Source organism: Homo sapiens, chromosome 12 (assembly GCF_000001405.40).
Source record: "Homo sapiens chromosome 12, GRCh38.p14 Primary Assembly".
Classification (NCBI taxonomy): Eukaryota; Metazoa; Chordata; class Mammalia; order Primates; family Hominidae; genus Homo; species Homo sapiens.
The window spans coordinates 101,867,359-101,890,362 of NC_000012.12; the positions used below are offsets into that span (position 1 = coordinate 101,867,359).

General features: G+C 45.6%; 1 protein-coding gene and 2 pseudogenes across 4 annotated transcripts in view, besides 8 other annotated features; 1 reads left to right on the plus strand and 2 right to left on the minus strand.

Annotated features, from left to right (window-relative positions):
* Window positions 4,384-4,443, minus strand: RNU6-1183P (RNA, U6 small nuclear 1183, pseudogene; annotated as a pseudogene).
* HSPE1P4 (heat shock protein family E (Hsp10) member 1 pseudogene 4) lies at window positions 5,778-6,304 on the minus strand (annotated as a pseudogene).
* Window positions 9,626-10,408: an enhancer, noted in NCBI's record as "H3K27ac-H3K4me1 hESC enhancer chr12:102270762-102271544 (GRCh37/hg19 assembly coordinates)". NCBI's record gives its function as "activates a minimal SCP1, AML or CMV promoter by ChIP-STARR-seq in primed H9 embryonic stem cells {active_cell/tissue: H9 hESC(primed)}" and the evidence as "EXISTENCE:reporter gene assay evidence [ECO:0000049][PMID:30033119]".
* Window positions 9,626-11,190: a biological region, named in NCBI's record as "H3K27ac-H3K4me1 hESC enhancers GRCh37_chr12:102270762-102271544 and GRCh37_chr12:102271545-102272326".
* Window positions 9,859-10,018: a silencer, noted in NCBI's record as "silent region_4772". NCBI's record gives its function as "represses an Ori minimal core promoter by ATAC-STARR-seq in GM12878 lymphoblastoid cells {active_cell/tissue: GM12878}" and the evidence as "EXISTENCE:reporter gene assay evidence [ECO:0000049][PMID:35858748]".
* Window positions 10,199-10,248: an enhancer, noted in NCBI's record as "active region_6868". NCBI's record gives its function as "activates an Ori minimal core promoter by ATAC-STARR-seq in GM12878 lymphoblastoid cells {active_cell/tissue: GM12878}" and the evidence as "EXISTENCE:reporter gene assay evidence [ECO:0000049][PMID:35858748]".
* Window positions 10,222-23,004, plus strand: part of DRAM1 (DNA damage regulated autophagy modulator 1) — a 46,033-nt gene continuing 33,250 nt past the window's right edge. For 3 of the 4 annotated variants that reach the window (NM_018370.3, XM_005269004.3, XM_005269005.3), the window contains exon 1: window positions 10,222-10,562. In NM_018370.3, the coding sequence (NP_060840.2) occupies window positions 10,432-10,562 (131 nt within the window). In that variant the 5' untranslated portion in view covers window positions 10,222-10,431. Of the gene's footprint in view, window positions 10,563-22,830; window positions 22,864-23,004 lie in introns of those variants that run through there. The other variant, XM_047429098.1, reaches the window with a different exon arrangement.
* Window positions 10,269-10,608: a silencer, noted in NCBI's record as "silent region_4773". NCBI's record gives its function as "represses an Ori minimal core promoter by ATAC-STARR-seq in GM12878 lymphoblastoid cells {active_cell/tissue: GM12878}" and the evidence as "EXISTENCE:reporter gene assay evidence [ECO:0000049][PMID:35858748]".
* Window positions 10,409-11,190: an enhancer, noted in NCBI's record as "H3K27ac-H3K4me1 hESC enhancer chr12:102271545-102272326 (GRCh37/hg19 assembly coordinates)". NCBI's record gives its function as "activates a minimal SCP1, AML or CMV promoter by ChIP-STARR-seq in primed H9 embryonic stem cells {active_cell/tissue: H9 hESC(primed)}" and the evidence as "EXISTENCE:reporter gene assay evidence [ECO:0000049][PMID:30033119]".
* Window positions 10,829-10,918: an enhancer, noted in NCBI's record as "active region_6869". NCBI's record gives its function as "activates an Ori minimal core promoter by ATAC-STARR-seq in GM12878 lymphoblastoid cells {active_cell/tissue: GM12878}" and the evidence as "EXISTENCE:reporter gene assay evidence [ECO:0000049][PMID:35858748]".
* Window positions 11,059-11,108: an enhancer, noted in NCBI's record as "active region_6870". NCBI's record gives its function as "activates an Ori minimal core promoter by ATAC-STARR-seq in GM12878 lymphoblastoid cells {active_cell/tissue: GM12878}" and the evidence as "EXISTENCE:reporter gene assay evidence [ECO:0000049][PMID:35858748]".

Genomic DNA, 23,004 nt, shown 5'->3' on the forward strand with positions numbered 1-23,004 from the left:
CAGGCAAGAAGGGGGTTTGTTTTGGGAAAGGGCTGTTATCATTGTTATCATCTTTGTTTTTTTTTGTGATTGTTTTGTTTTTTGTTTGTTTGTTTGTTTTGAGACAGAGTCTCTCTCTGTCACCCAGGCTGGAGTGCAATGGCACAATCTCAGCTCACTGCAACCTCCACCTCCCGGGTTCAAGCAATTCTTCTGCCTCAGCCTCCTGAGTAGTTGGGATTACAGGCATCCATCACCATGCCTGACTAATTTTTGTATTTTTAGTAGAGACAGGGTTTTGCCATGTTGGTCAGGCTGGTCTCAAACTCCTGACCTCAGGTGATCCGCCTGCCTTGGCCTCCCAAAGTGCTAGGATTATAGGCGTGAGCCACCATGCCTGGCTTATCTTTGTTTTAAACCATAACTATAAGTAAGTTCCTCCCAAAGGTAGTTCAGCCTATGCCCAGGAATGAACAAGGACAGTTCGGAGGTTGGAAGCAAAATGGAGTTGGTTAGGTCAGCTCAGTTATAATTTTGCAATGGTGGTTTCAATGTTAACTTTAATCAGCTTGTTAAATTGGTGTCTACCATATTTCTCCTGCAAAGATCTTTTTTTCTCTTTCCATACTCAAGTCTTCAGAAGCAAATCACTTAGTCCACACTCCTTTTTATTATTTTTTTACATTTTATTTATTTATTTCAGACAGAGTTTCACTCTGTCACTTAGGCTGGAGTGCAGTGGTGTGAGCACAGCTCATTGCAACCTCTGCCTCTGGGCTCAGGTAATCCTCCCAGCTCAGCCTCCTGAGTAGCTGGAACTACAGGTGTGTATCACCATGCCTAGCCAATTTGTTGTATTTTTTGTAGAGGTGGGTTTTCACTATATTGTCCAGGTTGGTCTTGAACTCCTGGCATGAGCCACCATCTCCAGCTTTAGTCCACACTCTAAGAGAGGGGATTGGCCAGGCATGGTGGCTCACGGCTGTAATCCCAGCACTTTGGGAGGCTGAGGCAGGCGGGTCACCTGAGGTCAGGAGTTTGAGACTAGCCTGGCCAACATGGTAAAACTCCATCTCTACTAAAAATACAAACATTAGCCGAGTGTGATGGCAGGCGACTGTAACCCCAGCTACTCGGGAGGCTGAGGCAGGAGAATCTCTTGAACCTGGGAGGCGGAGGTTGCAGTGAGGTGAGATCATGCCACTGCACCCCAGCCTGGGCGACAGAGTGAGACTCCGTCTCAAAAAAAAAAAAAAAAAAAGAGAGAGAGAGGAGATATTCCAACTTTTTGAATGGAGAGATAATTGAGGTTTTTACTGCCTGTGAATAAAAACATATAGAAGTAAAGACATGAGGCTGGGCATGGTGGCTTATGCCTGTAATCCCAGTACTTTGGGAGGTCGAGGCCAGCGGATCACCTGCGGTCAGGAGTTCAAGACCAGCCTGGCTAACATGGCGAAACCCAGTCTCTACTAAAAATAAAAATTAGATGGGTGTAGTGGTGTGTGCCTGTAATCCCAGCTACTCAGGAGACTGAGGCCGGAGAATCACTTGAACCTGGGAGGCAAAGTTTGCAGTGAGCCGAGATCATGCCAGTGCACTCTAGTTTGGGCAATAGAGCGAGACTCTGTCTCAAATTAAAAAAAAAAAAAAAGGCCAGGCATGGTGGCTCATGCCTGTAATACCAGCACTTTGGGAGGCCGAGGTAGGGGGGATCACGAGGTCAGGAGTTCAAGACCAGCCTGGCCAACATGGTGAAACCCCGTCCCCACTAAAAATACAAAATTAGCTGGGCGTGGTGGCGCGTGCCTGTAATCCCAGCTACTTGGGAGGCTGAGGCAGGAGAATTGCTTGAACCCAGGAGGCGGAGGTTGCAGTGAGCCGAGGTCCCATCACTGCACTCCAGCCTGGGTGACAGAGTGAGACTCCGTCTCAAAAAAAAAAAAAAGAATTACATTAAATCTGCACTGTCTGTGTTCTATAAACGAATAACAACATGTGGATGACAGCACATCTGTTTACAGCATGATTTACTGAATATTTTAAGCCCACGTTTGAGACCTACTGCTCAGAAGATTTATTTCAAAATATTACTGCTCATTGACAATGCACCTAGTCACACAAGAGCTCTGGTGGAGATGTACAAGGAGATTAATGTTTTTATGCCTGCCAACACAACCATTCTGCAGCCCATGGATCAAGGAGTAATTTCAACTTTCTTTTTTTTTTTTTTTTTAAGAAAGGGTCTTGTTCTGACACTCAGGCTGGAGTGCAGTGGTGTGATTGTGGCTCACTGCAACTTCTGCCTACCAGGCTCAAGCTATCCTCCCAACTCAGCTTCCTAAGTAGCTAGGACTACAGGCACATGCCACCATGCCCAACTAATTTTTAAAAATTTTTTGTAGATATGGGGTTTCTCCATGTTGCCCAGGCTGGCCTTGAACTCCTGAGCTCAAGCAATCTTCCTGCCTCAAAGTGCTGGGATTACACGTGTGATCCACCATGCCCAGCCCCTAACTTTCAAGTCGTATTGTAGAAATACATTTCATGAGGCTATACCTTCCATAGATAGTGATTCCTCTGATGGATCTGGGCAAAGGATTCACCTTCTGGAAAGGATTCATCATTCTAGACTCCATTAAGAACATTCATGATTCATGGGAGGAGGTCAAAATATTAACATTAATGGGTGTTTAAAAGAACTTGATTCCAACCCTCATGGATGGCTTTTAGGGGTTCAAGACTTCAGTGGAGGAAGTAACTCCTCCATTGTGGAAATAGCAAAATAACTAAAATTAAAAGTAGAGCCTGAAGATGTGACTGAATTGCAGCAATCTCACGATAAAAGGTAAACAGACAAGGAGTTACTTTTTTTTTTTTTTTTTTGAGATGGAGTCTCACTCTGTCACCCAGGCTGGAGTGCAGTAGTGTGATCTCAGCTCACCACAATCTCTGCCTCCCTGGTTCAAGCAATTCTCCTGCCTCAGCCTCCCGAACAGCTGGGATTACAGGCGCACGCCACTGCACCCAGCTAATTTTTGTGTTTTTAGTAGAGATGGGGTTTCTCCATGTTGGCCAGGCTAGTCTTGAACTCCTGACCTCAGGTGATCTGCTTGCCCCGGCCTCCCAAAATGCTGGGATTACAGGTGTGAGCCACTGCACCCAGCCATACTTACTTCTTAAGGATGAACAGAGAAAATGATTTCTTGAGGTGGAGTCTACTCCTTTTGAAGATGTTGTTAACATTGTTGAAATGACAACAAAGGATTTAGAATATTCCATAAACTTGGCCGGGCGCAGTGGCTCACGCCTGTAATCCCAGCACTTTGGGAGGCCGAGGCGGGCGGATCACGACGTCAGGAGATCGAGACCATCCTGGTTAACATGATGAAACCCAGTCTCTACTAAAAATACAAAAAATTAGCCGGGCGTGGTGGCGGGCACCTGTAGTCCCAGCTACTTGGGAGACTGAGGCAGGAGAATGGCGTGAACCCGGGAGGCGGAGCTTGCAGTGAGCCGAGATGGGGTCACTGCACTCCAGCCTGGGCGACAGAGCGAGACTCTGTCTCAAAAAAAAAAAAAAAAAGAATATTCCATAAACTTAATTGATAAAGAAACAGTAGAGCTTGAGAGAATTAACTCCAATTTTTAAAGAAGTTGTGCTGTGGGTAAAATGCTGTCAGAGTTGCATGCTACAGAGAAATCTTTTGTAAAAGGAAGAGTCAATTTTCCCTGTCTTATTTTAAGAAATTGCCACAGCCACCCCACCCTTCAGCAACCACCACCCTAAGTCAGCAGCTATCAACATCAAGGAAAACACTCCAACAGCAAAAAGGTTATGACTTGCTGAAGGCTCAGATGATGATTAGCAATGTTTTGCAATAAAGTATTTTTAAAAATACATATTTATCTTTTTTTTTTTTTCCCCGTAGAGATGAAGACCTCACTATGTTGCCCAGGCTGGTCTTGAACTCCTGGCCTCAAGCCATACTTCTGCCTCAGCCTCCCAAAGTGCTGGGATTACAGGCATGAGCCACCATGCCCTGCCACCAATAAAAGTTTTTTTTTTTTTTTTTTTTGAGACAGAGTCTTGCTCTGTCGCCCAGGCTAGAGTGCAGTGGTGCAATCTTGGCTTACTGCAACCTCTGCCTCCTGGGTTCAAGCAATTCTCCTGCCTCAGCCTCCTGAGTAGCTGGGACTATAGGCGCCCGCCACCATGCCTGGCTAATTTTTGTATTTTTAGTAGAGACAGGGTTTTATCATATTGGCCAGGCTGGTCTCGAACTCCTGACCTTGTGATCTGCCCGCCTTGGGCTCCCAAAGTGCTAGGATTACAGGTGTTAGCCACTGAGCCCAGTCAATAAAGTTTTTTAAAAAATTATTTTGTAATATATTTTTAAAGCAGCCATGCTAATCTTCTCTGTATTGTTCCAATTTTAGTTTATGTGCTGCCAAAGCAAGCACTATTTTGTTTTTTTGTTTGTTTGTTTTTTTTTTTTTTTTTTGAGTCAGGGTCTCTCTGTCACCCAGGCTGGAATGCAGTGGTACAACTATGGCTCCCTACAGCCTTGACCTCATGGGCTCAAGCAGTCCTCCCACCTCAGCCTCCCAAGTAGCTGGGACCACAGGTGTGCATGACCACACCTAGCTAATTTTTTGATTTTTTTGTAGAGATGAGGTTTCACTATGTTGTCCAAGCTGGTCTCAAACTCCTGAGTTCAAGTGATCCTTCTTCCTTGGCCTCCCAAAGTGCTGGAATTACAGCCATGAGCCACTGTGCCTGGCCATATTTTTAAATTAAGGTCTGTACATGGTTTTTAAATACATAATGCTATTGTGCACGTAATAGATTATAGTATAATGTAAATATAAATTCTATATGCACTGGAGAACAAAAAAAAAATCGTGTGACTCTGAAACTGCCATTGCAAAATTATAACAGACAGTGAAAGAGATCTGACCTTACCAATTCCATCTTGCTTCTAACCTCCAAGCTGTCCTTGTTCATTCCTGGGCATAGGCCGAACTAACTTTGGGAGGAACTTAGTTTATAGACTATAGTTTGAAACAAAGACAATAACAGCCCTTTCCTGAAATAAACCCCCTTCTTGCCTGGGGCCTAGACTGCCTTTGTAGGACTAACAAATTACTCAAAAGATTAAAAATTATGGTTTAGGAGTCATGCCGCTGGAGGCTACAAGATTGACCATCCCTAAACTACTCCTAAGATCAATGGCTTGGCTGGGCACGGGTGGCTCAAGCCTGTAATCCCAGCACTTTGGGAGGCGGAGGCGGGTGGATCACCTGAGGTCAGGAGTTCAAGACCAGCCTGACCGATATGGCGAAAACCCTATCTCTACTAAAAATCCAAAATTAACTGGGGGTGGTGGCACATGCCTGTAATCACAGCTGCTTGGGAGGCTGAGGCAGGAAAATCGCTTGGACCCAGGAGGTGGAGGTTGCAGCGAGCAGAGATCGTGCCACTGCACTCCAGCCTGCATGATGGGAGCGAGACTCCACCTCAAAACAACAACAACAACAACAACAATAACAACAAATTAGCTGGGCATGGTGGTGCATGCCTGTAGTCCCAGCTACTTGGCAGGCTGAGGAACAAGAATTGCTTGAACCCGGGAGGCAGAGGTTGCAGTGAGCCAAGATCGCACTACTGCACTCCAGCATGGGTGACACAGTGAGACTCTCTAAAAAAAAAAAAAAAGTAAAAAAGAAGCCAGAACTTTTACATTTATAGTGTATTTATTTTAAATATATATGTATACATACTCTTTTTTTTACACTCATTTACATATTTTTATTTGGAAATGTTTATATCAGTACAAGGAAACAATTTTGGAGACACTGGATGTCATTAGTTTATTATAAAAGAAAAATATGGAAATTATTTACATGATGAAAGATTTCAGAACTTCAGTAGAATGGGCAGCTTCACGTTGATGCCATTTCAATAGTGACTTATTTCAGTCTACGTACTTTCTAAGAATGTCACCATCTCTAAATAGGAAATAATCCTTGTCATCTAGAACTACTTTGGTGCCTCCATATTCTGGGAGAAGAACTTTATCTCCAACTTTCACGCTAACTGGTTGAATCTCTCTACCCTTTCCATAGAACCCCATCCAACAGCGACTACTCTTGCTTGCAATAATTTTCCTTGAGATTTTTCTGGAAGCATAATGCCTCCTTTGGTTACAGTTTCAGCAGCACGCCTTTCAACCAAAACTCGGTCAAGGAGTGGAAGAAACTTTCTAAACGCTTGGCTTGCCATGATTCCCTCCACCTCAGACTCGTACTCTGCTCGCGTGTATACATACTCATCTTAAGTGACAAATTCTTGTTAGCTCTATAGTCAGACAACTCTTTTTTTATTTGAGACTGAGTTTTGCTCTTTGTTGCCCAGGCTGGAGTGCAGTGGTATGATCTCGGCTCACTGCAACCTCCGCCTCCCGGGCTCAAGCGATTCTCCTGCCTCAGCCTCCCGAGTAGCTGGGATTACAGGGGCCCACCACTACACCCGGCTGATTTTTGTATTTTTAGTAGAGATGAGGTTTCACCATGTTGGCTGGGCTGGTCTCGAACTCCTGACCTCAGGTGATCCGCCCGCCTTGGCCTCCCAAAGTGCTGGGATTACAGGCGTGAGCCACCATGCCCGGCCTCAGATTTTTTTTTTTTTTTTTTTTTTTTTTTTTTTTTTTTTGAGACAGAGTCTTGCTCTGTCGTCCAGTCTGGAGTGCAGTTGCGCGATCTCGGCTCACTGCAAGCTCCGCCTCCCGGGTTCACGCCATTTTCCTGCCTCAGCCTCCTGAGTAGCTGGGACTATATGCGCCCGCCACCACGCCCGGCCAATTTTGTTTTTGTATTTTTAGTAGAGACGCGGTTTCACCGTGTTAGCCAGGATGGTCTTGATCTCCAGACCTCGTGATCCGCCAGCCTCGGCCTTCCAAAGTGCTGGGATTAGAGGTGTGAGCCACCGCGCCAGGCCAGACAATTCTTATATCTGTGTTAAAAGTGATTAGCCAATTGAATTGCTTAATTAAGGAAATTACATAAGCAGCAGAAGGGTAAGATGATCAGGTGAATTCCCTTTGATATTATAATTTCTTTGCTTAGGGAGAGTTTTTTTTTTTAGTCTGATGAATCAGTAGTAGGGCACGAAAGGAAAAAAGGGAAGGAATAGAGTGATTTTCAGAACACAGAAACCTAGGTAGAGATTACAATGAAACCATGGTTGCTAACTTTTGTGATTTTTATTTTTTATTTTTAAAATTTATTTATTTATTTAGAGACATAGTCTCTATCTGTTGACCAGGCTGGAGTGCAATGTCACCGTCTCTGCTCACTGCAACCTCTGCCTCCTGGGTTCAAGCAGTTCTCCTGCCTCAGCCTCCTGAGTAGCTGGGATTACAGGTGCCCGCCACCATGCCTGGCTAATTTTTGTATTTTTTAGCATTGACGGGGTTTCACCATGTTGGCCAGGCTGGTCTTAAACTCCTGACCTCATGGTCCACTGGCCTCCACCTCTCAAAGTGCTGGAATTACAGGCGTGAGCCACTGTGCCTGGCCATTTTTTTTTTTTTAAGACAGGGTCTCGCTCTATTACCCAGGCTGGAGTGCAGTGGCTGCAATCTCAGCTCAACTGCAATCTCTGCCTCCCAGGTTCAAGCGATTCTCATGCCTTAGCTTCACGAGTAGCTGGGATTACAGGCGCGCACCACCATGCCCAGCTAATTTTTGTATTTTCAGTAGAGACAGGGCTTCATCATATTGGCCAGGCTGGTCTCGAACTCCTGACCTCAGGTCATGTGCCTGCCTCAACCTCCTAAAGTGCTGGGATTACATTGCACCTGACCATTTTTAAATTTTTATTTGTTTTTGAAATAGAGTCTCGATCTGTGATCCAGGCTGGAGTTCAGTGGTGTGATCATAGCTCACTGCAGCCTCAAACTCCGGGCTCAAGTGAGCCTCCCACGTAAGCCTCTCATGTAGCTGGAACCACAGGTTATGCAACACCACACCCAGCTAATTTTTAAATTTTTTGTAGATATGGTTGCGGGTCTCACTATATTGTCCAGGCTTCGGCCTCCCAAAGCGCCGGGATTACAGAACTGTGAGCTACCATGCCTGGCCAGCTTTTGTGGTTTTTAAAAAGCCTTATTTTAAATTTTCTATTTTGTTTTGTATGGCGGGCACTCACTCCACGGCCACAGTGATCTCTTGAAATACTAGTCTGCCCATGTTCTTACTTTCTCCTTAATACCAAAAATAATCCAAGATTCTCAGCAGGACTCTGGTGACTTTGCCTCTTTGTTTCTCTCTCCATTTGCTGCCTCACACTTATTTAAGTGCTTTCATAGTCCCAGGGAAGCAAGCTCTGTGTATGCATTTCCTCCAGTTGTTTTCTGGGCCTGGAATGCTAATCTTATTTTTCTTTGCCTGGTTAGTAATTACTTCCTTTTGAAAACTCTGATGTCATCTGTCAGAAAACCTCCGTGGTCCTTCCTCTGAGCCCAGGCCCCTGGCCCTCAGCTCTGGGCATGTCTCTACTTTTTAAAATCCTCTCCTTTCCATTTAATAAACCACATAACATAATTTTGTTTTTATTTATTTATATTTTTGAGACAGAGTCTCGTTCTCTCACCCAGGCTGAAATGCAGTGGTGTGATCTCAGCTCACTGAGAAAACCTCCATTTCCCAGGTTCAAGCGATTCTCCTGCCTCAGCCTCCTGAGTAGCTGGGATTACAGGCGTGAGCCATGATGCCTGACTAATTTTTTGTATTTTTAGTAGAGATGGGGTTTCACCATGTTGGCCAGGCTGGTCTCGAACTCCTGACCTCAGGTGATCCACCCACCTTGGCCTCCCAAAGTGCTAGGATTACAGGCATGAGCCACCACGCCTGGCCTAATTTTGTTATTTTGATCTATGAGTGTCCTCGTCCTGAGGGTACTATTACTATTTCATCTTTGTAGCCTAGCATGGCGCCCATGAAATGTGTTTGTGGCTGAAAGGAACCTATCTTTGGTCACCAATGACCCAACAATTTTGGCCACATATGTTGGGCTCAGACTCCCTAAACTATCAAAATCATGTGCTTATATTATAAGTGCCTCCAGAACACAAATCCCTTTCACAGGGCTTGAAATGTATCAAGTCACTATTAATCATCTTAGGCCAAGGCTCCGAGTCTGGGCTACTCCAGAACCTGGAGGGGAGTTTTTTTTGTTTTTTTTTTGTTTGTTTGTTTTTTGAGACAAGGTCTTGCTCTGTCACCCAGGCCGAGTGAAGTGGTGTGATAAAGGCTCACTGCAGCCTCGACCCCCAAGGCTCAAGTGATCATCCCAACTCAGTCTCCCGAGTAACTGGAACCGGCTTTTTTTCTTTTTCATTTTTTTTTTTTTTTTTTGTAGAAGAGGGGTTTCGCTATGTTACCCAGGCTGATCTCTAGTTCTTGGGTTCAAGCGATCCTCCCAACTCGGCCTCCCAAAGTGGTGGCATTCCAGGGGTGATGGCTTTTGGATGCCTCCCAAAGTGATGGCTATTCACGGCGCCCGGCCTGGGAAATCTTATTTCCAGGAAATATTCTCCAGTTGCGCTCTCCTGGAAAGCAGCACAATGGGCCTCCCGGCTCCGTGGGCGCGCAGTCCCACCCGCCTGCCCCGCACCCCACCCGCGTACTCTCCACCCCACCCGTTCCCACCCTGTCTGGGTTTTCGGGTGTTCACCATTGAGGTGGGAGCCACATCTGCGCCCCGTGACCTGGCGAACCTCATTGAACACTTCTGCCCGACCCCCGCAGCAGCAGCGCGACCGGATGGCATGGGTGTCACCACGCGGTGGCCACTCTCACTGCTGCGAAGCGCCGGCGGCGGGACCTCGGAGGGGGCGCCCTCGGGGTGCGAGGCCCGGCACTCCGGAAATCCCCCGGGAGGGAGGGGTTGGGAGAAATAAATCCTTTTCTCCAGAGTTGCGCAAGAGCCAGCGCGGTAGGGCCAGAGTGGGAAGGCCAGAGCGGGCGTCCCCGCCAGTGACCCCACGCCGCCCGTCCGCGCCCAACCCGGCCTCCGCCGAGTGTCCAAACCAAAAGCGAAAGGAACCCGACCCCGCGTCCCCTCCGGCGGCTCCGTAGTCGCGTCCGCTTGGAGCTCGCCGGGCGCCTCCGACCCTGCCGGGCCGCTTTGTGACTTCACTCGTTTCGCAACAAGCCCGGGCAGCCCGCGCCCCACCCACTCTGGCCCGGCAGCCTCGCCGCCCGCAGCCTCGCTCCGCTCCTCGCGCTTCCCCTCCCTCCGGGGCTGGGCCTGCCCCGGCCGTCGCGGAGCCTCCCCTCCCACCGTCCGTGAGTGTACGCGCCCGGCCGCCGCCTCCAGGCAGCCCGGAGCAACCCGGCGCCCGGCCCCGCTGGGCGCAGCACTCCGTCGGCGGCGGCGGCGGCGCGATGCTGTGCTTCCTGAGGGGAATGGCTTTCGTCCCCTTCCTCTTGGTGACCTGGTCGTCAGCCGCCTTCATTATCTCCTACGTGGTCGCCGTGCTCTCCGGGCACGTCAACCCCTTCCTCCCGTATATCAGGTGAGTGGCAGGGTGGGCGTCAGGGCCCCAGGAGCAGGCACAGGGACCACAGGGAGCGCTGCCGACGGGGAGGGAAGGCGTCCGGACCCAGCTTGGGGCGTCGTGTGGTCAGGCAGAGGTGGGAGCAGGAGGAGAGGTGCTCCCGATAGCCTGGGATGTTTAGGGAGGCAGCGGGTGCGGCGCTGAGCACTTCTGCCTGTACCCGGAGCATGGAACAGGGTGGCAGCAAGGAGAGGTTCAGGATAGATGGTAGAGCTTTCATTCTGGGTATGGGACAGAATCTCAGCAGGACGTTCTTAGGCGATATTGAAACAAGATGGGTTCTGATAGATGACATATATTATACAAGAGGTAGATCCAGGTATATGCTAAACAGCCACTATTTTCACTTCTGCATCCCAACATCCCTTGAAGTGGATGTTTGGGCTTATTATTCCCGCAAGCGAGCGGTGGTGTAAAGTTGATGAAATATCATCAACGTGACACTGATGTCACACTAGTTAATGGTAGGAGCAGAATTCACACCCGGCCATGCAGAAAGCAACACTGTGCTGCCCCCAGGTCTCTGGGAGTCTGGCTTAAATTCTCTGGAGCTGCACCAGACACCTCTGGGCACTGTGACCCCAAAGTCCTCAACTTGTCAACAACTTGTGACATCTTTTGTGTTATTTTACCCATTCACTTTTCCTGTGCTTTGGCCTCTACCTTCCTGAGGGGCACTTCAGTGCCAGGGACAGTGGTCTGATCCTCCTATGTGGGTTCCAGCTCAGTGCCTTTCTCATAGTGGCAGGATTCTTTAAACGTTAGAACCATCCATCCTTATCTAAGTAGTGTGACCCCTCTGGACAGGCATTGGTTGGTGAACGGATGATAAGGTTGGTGACACCCAAGGTTTGTTACTGCTATGATAGAAAATGTAGGGCGTCTTCTTCCCTGCAGCCATTCTGTCTGGTGAGCAATGTTCTGTGTTTTTTTGTTTGTTTGTTTGTTTTTTTCCTTTTTTTGGGGGTGGGGGTGAGGAGTGTGGAGAAAGGGGAAACAAAGATCGAGCAAGAGGGGACTAGCATTTTTTAAAATTTTTTTTATTTTTTTGAGACAGAGTCTTGTTCTGTCGCCCAGGCTGGAGTGCAGTGACACAATCTCGGCTCACCGCAACCTCTGCCTCCCGGGTTCAAGCGATTCTCCTGCCTCAGCCTCCCAAGTAGCTGAGATTACAGGCGTGCACCACCACACCTGGCTTAATTTTTTTGTATTTTTAGTAGAGACAGGGTTTCACTATGTTGGTCAGGCTGGTCTCAAATTCCTGACCTCAAGTGATCCTCTTGCCTTGGCCTCCCAAAATGCTAGGATTACAGGTGTGAGCCAGTGTTCCCAGGGAACCAGCATTTACAAGATGCAGGGAATACAGCAATAGGTAGAATAGTGCAAATTTGCAGTAATGATGGTGGTTTTTGCCTATGAAAGGAGATGTTATGTATATCAAGATGTTCTCATCTGGCCTTTCGGTTTTTTCCATTTATTGTTATTATTTTTTATTTTCAGTAGAGACAAAGTCTCACTATATTGCCCAGGCTGGTCTTAAACTCCTGGGCTCAAGCATTCCCCTTGCTTTGGCCTCCCAGAGTGTTGGGATTACAGGCGTGAGCCACCACGCCTGGCCCTCCCATCTGGTATTATGCTTGGAAGAAACCTAGGCTTGGTTTCTCATGGCACATCTCAGGCCCAAGTGCCATCATCTTGCTTCTGAAGCAGGATAGATCCTTCTAGACTTGTGTAAAAGTAAAGACCTGCTCAGCTGGGCACAGTGGCTCACGCCTGTAATCCCAGCACTTTGGGAGGCCGAGGCTGGCGGATCATGAGGTCAAGAGATCGAGACCATCCTGGCCAACATGGTAAAACCTCATCTCTACTAAAAATACAGAAATTAGCTGGGCGTGGTGGTGCACGCCTGTAGTCCCAGCTACTCGGGAGGCTGAGGCAGAATTGCTTGAACCCGGGAGGCAGAGGTTGCAGTGAGCCGAGACAGAGCTACTGCACTCCAGCCTGGTGACAGAGCGAGACTCCATCTCAGAAAAAAAAAAAAAAGGTAAAGAGCTGCTCTACCTGCAGTGCTGCTTCTTTTGTTTGTTTGTTTGTTTGTTTTTTCAGACAAAGTCTCGCTCTGTTGCCCAGTCTGTGGTGTGGTGGTGGGATCACAGCTCACTGCAGCCTCGACCTCCTGGGCTCCATTGATCCTCCCACCTCAGCCTCCTGAATAGCTGGGGACTGTAGATAGGCATGCACAACCATGCCCAGCTAATTTTTAATTTTTTTTTGTATTTGTAGAGATGGCATCTTGCTGTGTCCTGCAATGCTTCCTTTTTTTTTTTTTTTTTTTTTTTTTTTAAGACAGAGTCTTGCTCTGTCGCCCAGGCTGGAGTGCAATGGTGCAATCTCGGCTCAGTGCAACCTCCACCTCCTGGTTCAAGCAATTCTCCTGACTCAGCCTCCCAAGTAGCTGGGATTACAGGCACCTGCCACCACGCCCAGCTAATATTTTTGTATTTTTAGTAGAGACGGGGTTTCACCATGTTGGCCAGGCTGGTCTCAAGCTCCTGACCTCAGATGATCCACCTGCCTCAGCCTCCTAAAGTGTTGGGATTACAGGCGTGAGCCACCACACCCAGCCTGCAGTGCTTCTTATTGAGAAAACAGTAGTCATGTTTGTCCCAGATCTGAAGGTTGAGGACAGATAATACGTGATATTCATTGGCCAGGCTGTCAAAGGCAGGTTTTGAATGTTCATAGAGGTGTCTGATGTAGTTGTGATTAATATCACTCTAAGGTGAACTTGAAATGGGAGACATTCAGAAATGGGAAAATAAGCTGACAAGGTGAACCACTTATGAGATGCTCAAATCACAGACCCTACAAGGAAGGGGTTTAAAATTTAACAAGGAAGCCTTCAGGAAAAGCAGAATTACAGGAGAAAAAGGCATGCCCCCTTGTTGCCAGGAGTTCTCAGCCAACACACAACAAACATTTGTACTGATTGCCCATGTGTGCCTGGGTCTTTTAGGTTGTTTGCTCTCTGCTTACCTGAGCAGCCGGAGCACTGGATTGCCCCTGCCCGCTCCTAGAAAACAAGTCCTTGGTGCAGCAACAAGATGTGGATAAGAACCACACATAGAGAAGAAGGCTGGGTGCAGTCTCTACTAAAAATATATAAAATTAGCTGAGCGTGGTGGCACATTCCTGTGATCCCAGCTACTCAGGAGGCTGAGGCATGAGAATCGCTTGAACCAGGGAGGCAGAGGTTGCCGTGAACCGAGACTGTGCCACTGCACTCCAGTCTGGGTGACTGAGTGAGACTCTTTCTCAAAAAAATGAAAGAACCAGACATAGAGAAGTGATAACTCTACATTTATCTACTGGCCTTGAAATATTCAACCTTATCCCTTTTTGTTGTGTTTTTTTTGGAGGTGGGGTCTTGCTATGTTGCCCAGGCTGGTCTCGAACTCCATGGCTCAAGCAATCCCCTGACCTCAGCCTACTGAGTACTTGAGATTAAAAGTGTGCACCCCCATGCCAGGCTGAAGGTATCTCTTAGCTCATCACCTCCTCCTCTCCTCTACCCCTACTCTTTGTACTTCCCTTCAACCACGCTGGCCTTGTGTCTTAAACACATCAAGCACCCGTCCTTCTCAAGACCTTTGCAGTGGCTGTTCCCTCTGCCAGGTGTTCTCCCTGCAGCTATTTTTCACTTACCTCTTTTGTTCAAACGTTACCTTCCTGCAGAGTTTTTCACTTACCTCCTTTGTTCAAATGTTATCATCTTGATGAGACCTGCCCTGATCACCCTTTTTAAAAATTGCACCTGACCACTACTGGTCTCCATATCCAGTCTTATTATTCACCACAGCACGTATCACCTTCTAACAAATCATGTGATTTAACTTATTTATTATGTTTATTTTCTGTCTCCCTTCACTGGATTGTAAGGTCCATGAAAGCTCTCAATATTTGCTGAATGAATATTTCTGAATGACTATTTCTTGGGTACTCACTCTTTACCCCAGGACAGGGCAGATCCCTTAAGGAAAAGCTTGACATGGCCATTCTGTTTGGTGGCTAGTCAGTGATTTGAAAGTCCTTAGGATGAGTTTCCTTTTACATTCTAACATTGTTCAGTCATTCTGATGGTCTAATTTTTTTTTTTTTTTTTTTTTTTTTTTTTGAGACGGAGTTTCCCAGGCTGGAGTGCAGTGGCGCGATCTCGGCTCACTGCAAGCTCCGCCTCCCGGGTTCACGCCATTTTCCTGCCTCAGCCTCCCGAGTAGCTGGGACTACAGGCGCCCGCCACCCCTCCCGGCTAATTTTTTGTATTTTTTTAGTAGAGACGGGGTTTCACCATGTTAGTCAGGATGGTCTCGATCTCCTGACCTTGTGATCCGCCCGCCTCAGCCTCCCAAAGTGCTGGGATTACAGGCGTGAGCCACCGCGCCCGGCCCCTGATGGTCTAATGTTTTTAGCACAGTTGAACACTTTAAATAAGAGCCACAACCATAAGGAGGACCTCTCCCCAGTATGGCATTTAGAATCAGCTTCCTTATCAGATACTTTCTCCTTGTAACATTGTTATTCTTCAGCATATTGGATAAATTGGCAAATGGCTCTTATACACATGAAAAGATACTCAACTTTATGAATAGGAATAAATATTCAAATTAAAACTCACTGATGCCAGTTGTGATCTAGTGGGTTAGCAGAAACCCAAATGTTTGATACTAGTACTGGTGAGAATATGGGGAAACAGTCTCTCTCATACATTGCTTACAGGAACGTGAATTGATTTCAGTCTCCATGGTGGGACTTGGGCAATATCTATGGAAATGACAGATACACACACACCCCCCCATCATTTGATGCAACAGCCTTTTTTTTTTTTTTTTTTTTTGAAATTTATCCTATAGGTGTACATGCCCATGTGAAGAATGGCATTTCTGCAGAGTTACTCAGGGCATTGCTTTGAATAACAAAAGATTGGAAACTACAAATGACTATCAGTAGAGAATTGCCTAAATAAATATGGTTTATTTATTAAAGGATACTTCAAGTGAAAGCTCTCTGTACCTAGCAGATTTTTACGTCAATACACTTATATGGAAAAATCTCCAAGATACATTGTTACATGGGAAAAAGCAAGATGCAGAACAACCTATGCTCTCGTTAGTTAAGAAAAAAGAGGAGAAAAATAATATATATTTGCATTAGCTTGCATAAAGAAACTAATGAAAGTGGTTTATCTGTGTGTGATGGAGGGAGGAGTAGGTCAAGGTCAGTGAGACATTGGCAGATGGGGAAAAAGGATAATTATAAGGCATACTTTTTTGTTTTATTTTTTACCCAAATAGGTTTTTTTTTTTTTTTTTGAGATGGAGTTTCACTCTTGTTGCCCAGGCTGGAGTACAATGGCACGATCTCGGCTCACCACAACCTCCGCCTCCCGGGTTCAAGCGATTCTCCTGCCTCAGCCTCCTGATAGCTGGGATTACAGGCACGTGCCACCACACCTGGCTAATTTTTTTGTATTTTTAGTAGAGACGGGGTTTCACCATGTTAGCCAGGGTGGTCTCGATCTCCTGACTTCATGATCCGCCCACCTCGGCCTCCCAAAGTGCTGGGATTACAGGCGTGAGCCACTGCGCCCCGCATGAATGTTTCCTATCAGAAAATTAAATTAAAAACATGAGGCCGGGCGCAGTGGCTCACTCACGCCTGTAATCCCAGCACTTTGGGAGGCCAAAGCAGGCGGATCACGAGGTCAAGAGATCGCAACCATTCTGGCCAACATTGTGAAACCCTATCTCTACTAAAAATACAAAAATTAGCTGGGCATGGTGGCATGTGCCTGTAGTCCCAGCTACTCAGGAGGCTGAGGCAGAAGAATCGCTTGAACCCGGAGGTGGAGGTTGCAGTGGACCGAGATTGTGCCACTGCACTCCAGCCTGGTGATAGAGCGAGACTCTTTCTCAAAAAAAAAAAAAATAAATAAATACAAAATAAAAACATGGGACCAACCACCGTGAGATATAACAAGTTAGAATAGCATAAAGTGATATTTCTTATTCTGAAACCATTAACAAAAGCATATCAAAAGGAAGGACAAATAAAAGCTAATCTCAAAAAATTAGTTTAGATTTGCACTCGGGTGTGGTGCCTTATGCCTGTAATCCCAGCACTTTGGGAGGCTGAAGTGGGCTGATCACTTGAGTCCGGGTGTTTGAGACCAGCCATGGGCAATATGGTGCAACCCTGTCTCTACAATACATACAAAAAATTAGCTGAGCGTGGTAGGATGCACCTACAGTCCCACTTACTCAGGAGCCTGAGTGGGAGGATCACTTGAGCCTGCAGTCTGAGGCTGCAGTGATCACTCCAGCTTGGGTGACAGAGTGATACCCTGTCTCAAAAAAAAAAAAAAAAAAAAAAGATTTGCACACGGCCACACCCACATTCTCAAGCCAAATCATGCTTAACTTGTTATAGTTTCTTATCAAATTATTAACTTTTTCCAGCTGATAGATCACTGTCTTCCATCTTCTTTTTGGCATGTGTCTCCTGCCATGATATCTTGCTCATGATATTCTGTGATCCTTTACTCTTCAGTGTTGCCGATTCTAGATCCTGGCTTTTCTCTTTATTAGCACGTCTCACTTTCCATGTGAATACAGTTTTGTGGGATAGATTGTGGCCTTTGGCCACCCATATTGTCCTACCTCATGACCCCATAATCTCTGCTCAGTAGTTGATGACAGAAAACTGGGTCACCTAGAATCAAGCCACTTTAAAAGGAGGAACAAAATTGCAGAGTAAATGAAGTAAAAGAAGTTTGGTCAGGTCTTTAACTTCAAAAATGATACTAAAAATTAGGAAAATAACGATTTTAACTTGCATTTATGTAACAATCACAAATTTTGGGTTATGACAAGTGTGTGTTAAATCTTCAGATGCTGATCTTTATAGAGAAAATGTTTTTTTTTTTTTTTTTGAGATGGAGTTTCACTTTTGTTGCCCAGGCTGGAGTGCAATGGCGCAATCTTGGCCCACTGCAACCTCCTGCCACCTGGTTCAAGCGATTCTCCCACCTCATCCTCCCGAGTAGCTGTGATTAGAGGCATGTGCCACCACGCCCGGCTAATTTTGTATTTTTAGTAGACACGGGGTTTCTCTATGTTGGTCAGGCTGGTCTTGAACTCCCGCCTTGGCCTCCCAAAGTGCTGGGATAACAGGCGTGAGCCACCACACCCAGCCTTGCATTCTTTTTCCAATACAATTTTATGATTATATTATAGTAAGTCTTTCATTTCACATTTAACTTTAAAGAAAGTTTCCTTCTTCTCTTTTTGTTTGTTTTTGATAAACCCTTGTGTCAAGCGCTGACTTTCAGTAGCTCAAATCGAGGGAGGGAGCTGCTCTGCTACTACGAAACCCTGCCCCAGAAGCAGGTTGTCTGTGAATGGTTTAACACCAGGTTTCCCATGAACCACATTAAGCTTTTGAAGGGGGATAGGAAGAGGTTCATTTTTGCAAAAATGTCTGAAGACTCCAATTTTCCCACTGGACTTTTTTTTTTTTTTTTTTTTTTGACAGAGTTTTGCTCTGTCACCCAGGCTGGAGAGCAGTGGCATGATCTCAGCTCACTGCAGCCTCTGCCTCCCAGTTCAAGTGATTCTCCTGTCTCAGCCTCCTGAGTAGCCAGGACTACAGGTGCCCGCCACCATGCCCACCTAATTTTTTTTATTTTTAGTAGAGACAGGGTTTCACTATGTTGGCCAGGCTGGTCTCGAACTCCTGGCCTCAAGTGATCTGCCCACCTCGGCCTCAAAAAGTGCTGGGATTACAGGTGTGAGCCACCGCGTCCGGCCTCCCAGTGGCCATTCTTAATCTATATGTAAGGATATTGATCTTGTTTATTACCTGTCTCACACAAAATATATGCTCCATGAGGATAGAGATTTGGGGTTTGTCCACAGCATTTGTGATAGAGCCTGACACATTGCAGGCACTTGGTAAATATTGGTTGAATGTTGAACAAGATAATTTGTGTCATATGGTCCTGTTTCATTAACCTTGTTAGTTTCCTCCTCTTTAATTGTTAACTGATTCTGCCAGCACCTCATTGTTCATTGACTTTGGTTGCAGTTCTGTTTTCCAGCACAGTTAGAGATGAAATCCTTGTGTTTCAGAAGATTTGCGGTCCCAGTTTGTGGTCGATTTGACTTGCATTGTTGACTATTTACAATATTTAATAATAATACTGAGAGGGAACATAGCATGATTAAGAGCAACAGCTTTGGAACAGACAGCCTGGATTAGGGTATGGCTCCATTATGTGTTCCAGCTGTAGAACTTTGGACAGGTTACTTGACTTCTCTCTGCTTCTCTATTGGTTAATAATTGCACGTACTTCATTATTAACATGAACTCACAGAAAACTCATTAACACCCTGGTGGAGGAACATAGTATGTAGAAGCACTTGCTATTAGTATTATCAAGGGGCCAGTCCACATTGGGCTGGATAGGAAAGGATGTTTGGTTGGGAGCTAATTTTAGAAGTGATCGCTTTATATGTGAATGTAATATCAGAAGCTCTTTTATTCAGTAGCCTCAACTTAATCAACTTGCTGGGTTAACTGATGAATTTGTTCTTTGAAAAATGCACTGACTGAAGCCAATGGCCTCTGAAAACTCCCTCCTGTGAGGGCCACTCTGTAGGTACTTGCTTCTCTTACCCATGTCTTTGTATTCTCATCAAATGCCAATTGTGTTTATTCCCAAATTGTATTTATGTTCATGCCAGTTGTATTTTGTATTGTAACTGTGTGACTTAATGCAATACATATTAACTGTTGATCTGTGTAGGCAAAAAGAGAATTGTAATTTCTAAAAAAATTTGGTTGGGCCGGATGCAGTGGCTCATGCCTGGAATCCCAGTGCTTTGGGAGGCTGAGGTGGGCGGATCACTTGAGGTCAGGAGTTCAATACCAGCCTGGCCAACATGGTGAAACCCCTTCTCTATTAAAAATACAAAATTAGCCGGGCATGGTGGCACACACTTGTAATCCCAGCTACTCGGGAGGCTGAGGCAGGAGAGTCACTCGAACCTGGGAGGCAGATGTTGCTGTGAGCTGAGATTGTGCCATTGCACTCCAGCCTGGGCGACAAGAGTGAAACTCCGTTTCAAAAAAAAAAAAAAAATTGGTTAAATGCTTTGGAAAGATTAAAAAGAGACAAATTGTCCGAAAAAAATTTGTAGCCTTTTTGGTAATTATCTGACAGCTGTAAAGATTTAGGAAACTGGTATAAGGAAAACTGGAAGGAGTCTGAATTCAAATTGCTTCAAAAGTGTTTTTAAGACTTCCCTCCACTTTAAAGAAACCAAAATTGGAAATGAGATGATTCAGAGTAGATGCGATTTATATGCCAAGAAGACATAGTGGACCCATACTCTTGTAACGGCTTTGGTCTACATCCACAGGTGGGCAAATGAATACACATTGATACACTTTAAGTTAAAATAAAATGTTTGTGGTATGTATTCATTCATACAAGTTCTGAAGACTTTTTTCTTTTTCTTTTTTTTTTGAGACGAAGTCTCACTCTGTCACCCAGGCTGGAGTGCAGTGTTGCAATCTCGGTTCGCTGCAACCTCTGCCTCCTGGGCTCAAGTGATTCTCTGGCCTCAACCCCCTGAGTAGCTGGGACTACAGGCACGTGCCACCATGCACAGCTAATTTTTTGTTTTTGTTTTTTTAGTAGAGACGGGGGTTTCACCATGTTGGCCAGGCTGGTCTCGAACTCCTGACCTCAAGTGATCTGCCTGCCTTGGCCTCCCAAAGTCCTGAGATTACAGGCATGAGCCACTGTGCCTGGCCCTAATTTTTGATGACTTTTGCTTAAACCAACTTTTTTGATTACTGAGACTACACAGAATTTCAGGCAGTGGTGATGTTGGCTTTCCTGTTCAGCCGTAACAATGAGTACCAGGATAAAAAATACTCAGTTAATGAGGGCTGTGTGCATAAAATCACGTATTCTGACATGATGTTAATGACATATCAGTTTTTACAGTGCAGTGATTATAACCTCGTAGTATTTCTAATCTACAGTGTCACAAAGATGAAAAGGTAGGCATGCCATTTAAAACCTTTAGCTAGAAAAGTATTATTATTATTATTGTTTTGAGACAGAGTTTTTGCTCTGTTGCCCAGGCTGGTGTGCAATGGTGTGATCTCAGCTCACTGCAGCCTCCTCCTCCTGGGTTCAAGTGATTCTCCTGACTCAGCCTCCCGAGTAGCTGGGATTACAGGCGTCCGCCACCATGCCTGGCTAATTTTTGTATTTTTTAGTAGAGACGGGGTTTTACCATGTTGGTTAGGCTGGTCTCGAACTCTTGACCTCAGGCGATCCACCCACCTCAGCCTCCCGAAGTGCTAGGATTACAGGCATGAGCCACTGTGCCTGGCCGAAAAGTATTATTTTTGAGATGATCATTTATAATTGAATATTGATTTCACAAACACATGAAATTAGTTAATTCTAAGAAAAGCATAGTAAGAAAAGTGAAGATCCCAAACTTTTGCAGCCCCAAAATTAACTGAGGGTGATGGATGGAGTGTTGTTCAGCCTGAGTCTACTGTAAATATATAATTTCTCCTCTGATTTGAATTTTCCCTGTCATTTGGGTACAACAAATTCTTTTGTTCTCAGTGAATTAAGTAAAATTATGAATATTTTTCTTCTATTTTTCCTTTTAAAAGGGCATTAGAGTATTGCTCAAAAGTCTTGACTGATGCAGGGCTGATGACTTTCAAACATCTCAATTTTTTTTTTTTTTTTTTTTTTTTTTTTTTGGTCAGGGGACAGGGTCTCACTCTGTTGCCCAGACTGGATTGCAGTGGCATGATCTCAGCTCACTGCAGCGTCTGCCTTCCGGGCTCAAGTGATCCTCCTACCTCAGCCTCCCAAGTAGCTAGGACTACAGGAACATGTCACCATGCTTGGCTAATTTTGTGTTTTTGTAGAGACGGGATCTCACTGTATTGCCTGGGCTGGTCTTGAACTCCTGGGCTCAAGAGATCCTCCCACCTCAGCCTCACATAATGCTGGGATTACAAGTGTGAGCCACTGTGCCTGGCCTCAATCTCAATTAAAAAAAAGTTTCATAGTCCTCTTTACGTCACAGTAATTGCCTTTCATTCCATCAAGAACATGCATTGAAGAGTTGTTGTGAGCCAAGGACACCATAGCTGGCTCCAGAAGAAATAGCTGATATACCCCTGATTGAAATGTACAACATGTAAACTCACATGAAAATGATAACAACTTTAAAGAAATGTAATATAGCACAGCAGAGAAGAGTTCCTAAATTGTTTCCATTGAAATTAGAGAGTTCTAGGGTTCTTTCCTCTTGGAAGTCCCCTCTCGTGAGAGAGCTGTTTTCCTTTCTCTTTCTTTTCCCTATTAAACCTCCACTCAGACAAGAAAAGAGACGAGATGAGACGAGATGAGAAGAGAAGAAGGAAGGAAGTAAGGAAGGAAAGGAAGGAAGGAAAGGAAGGAAGGAAGGAAGGAAAAGAAGGCAGGAAAAAAGGAAATTGGAGAGTTCTAGATGCACAGCTTGGCTTCCTTGTTTACTCTGTGATCAAGTTAGTTTTCTAAGACCGTTTCCTCATCTTTAAGATGGCAATAGTGAGCAGGACGTGGTGGCTTACGCCTGTAATCCCCACATTTTGGGAAGCCAAGGCAGGTGGATCACTTGAGGTCAGGAGTTTGAGACCAGCCTGGCCAACATGATGAAACCCCATCTCTACTAAAAATACAAAAATTAGCCATGCATGGTGGTGGGTGCCTGTAATCCCAGCTACTTGGGAGGCTGAGGCACGAGAATTGCTTAAACCTGTGAGGCAGAGGTTGCAGTGAGCCGAGATCGTGCCACTACACTCCAGCCTGGATGACAAGAGTTAGACTCTGTCTCAAAAAAAAAAAAAAAAAAAAAAGATGCCAGTAATGAGTACTTTCTAATGTTGTGAAGATCAAGTAAGATGTGCCTGGCGGAATGTAGTTGCCAAGGAAGTGTTCATTTCTAATTTTTTCTTTTTCTTTTTTCTTTTTTGATTTTTATTTATTTTTTGAGATGAAGCCTCACTCTGTCGGCCAGGCTGGAGTGCAGTGGCACGATCTTGGCTCACTGTAACCTCTGCCTCCTGGGTTCAAGCGATTCTCCTGCCTCAGCCACCCGAGTAGCTGGGATTACAGGTATGTGCCACCACGCCTGGCTAATTTTTGTATTTTTTAGTAGAGACAGGGTTTCACCATGTTGCCCAGGCTGCTATCAAACTCCTGACCTCAGGTGATCTGCCTGCCTTGGCCTCCCAAAGTGCTGGGATGACAGGTGAG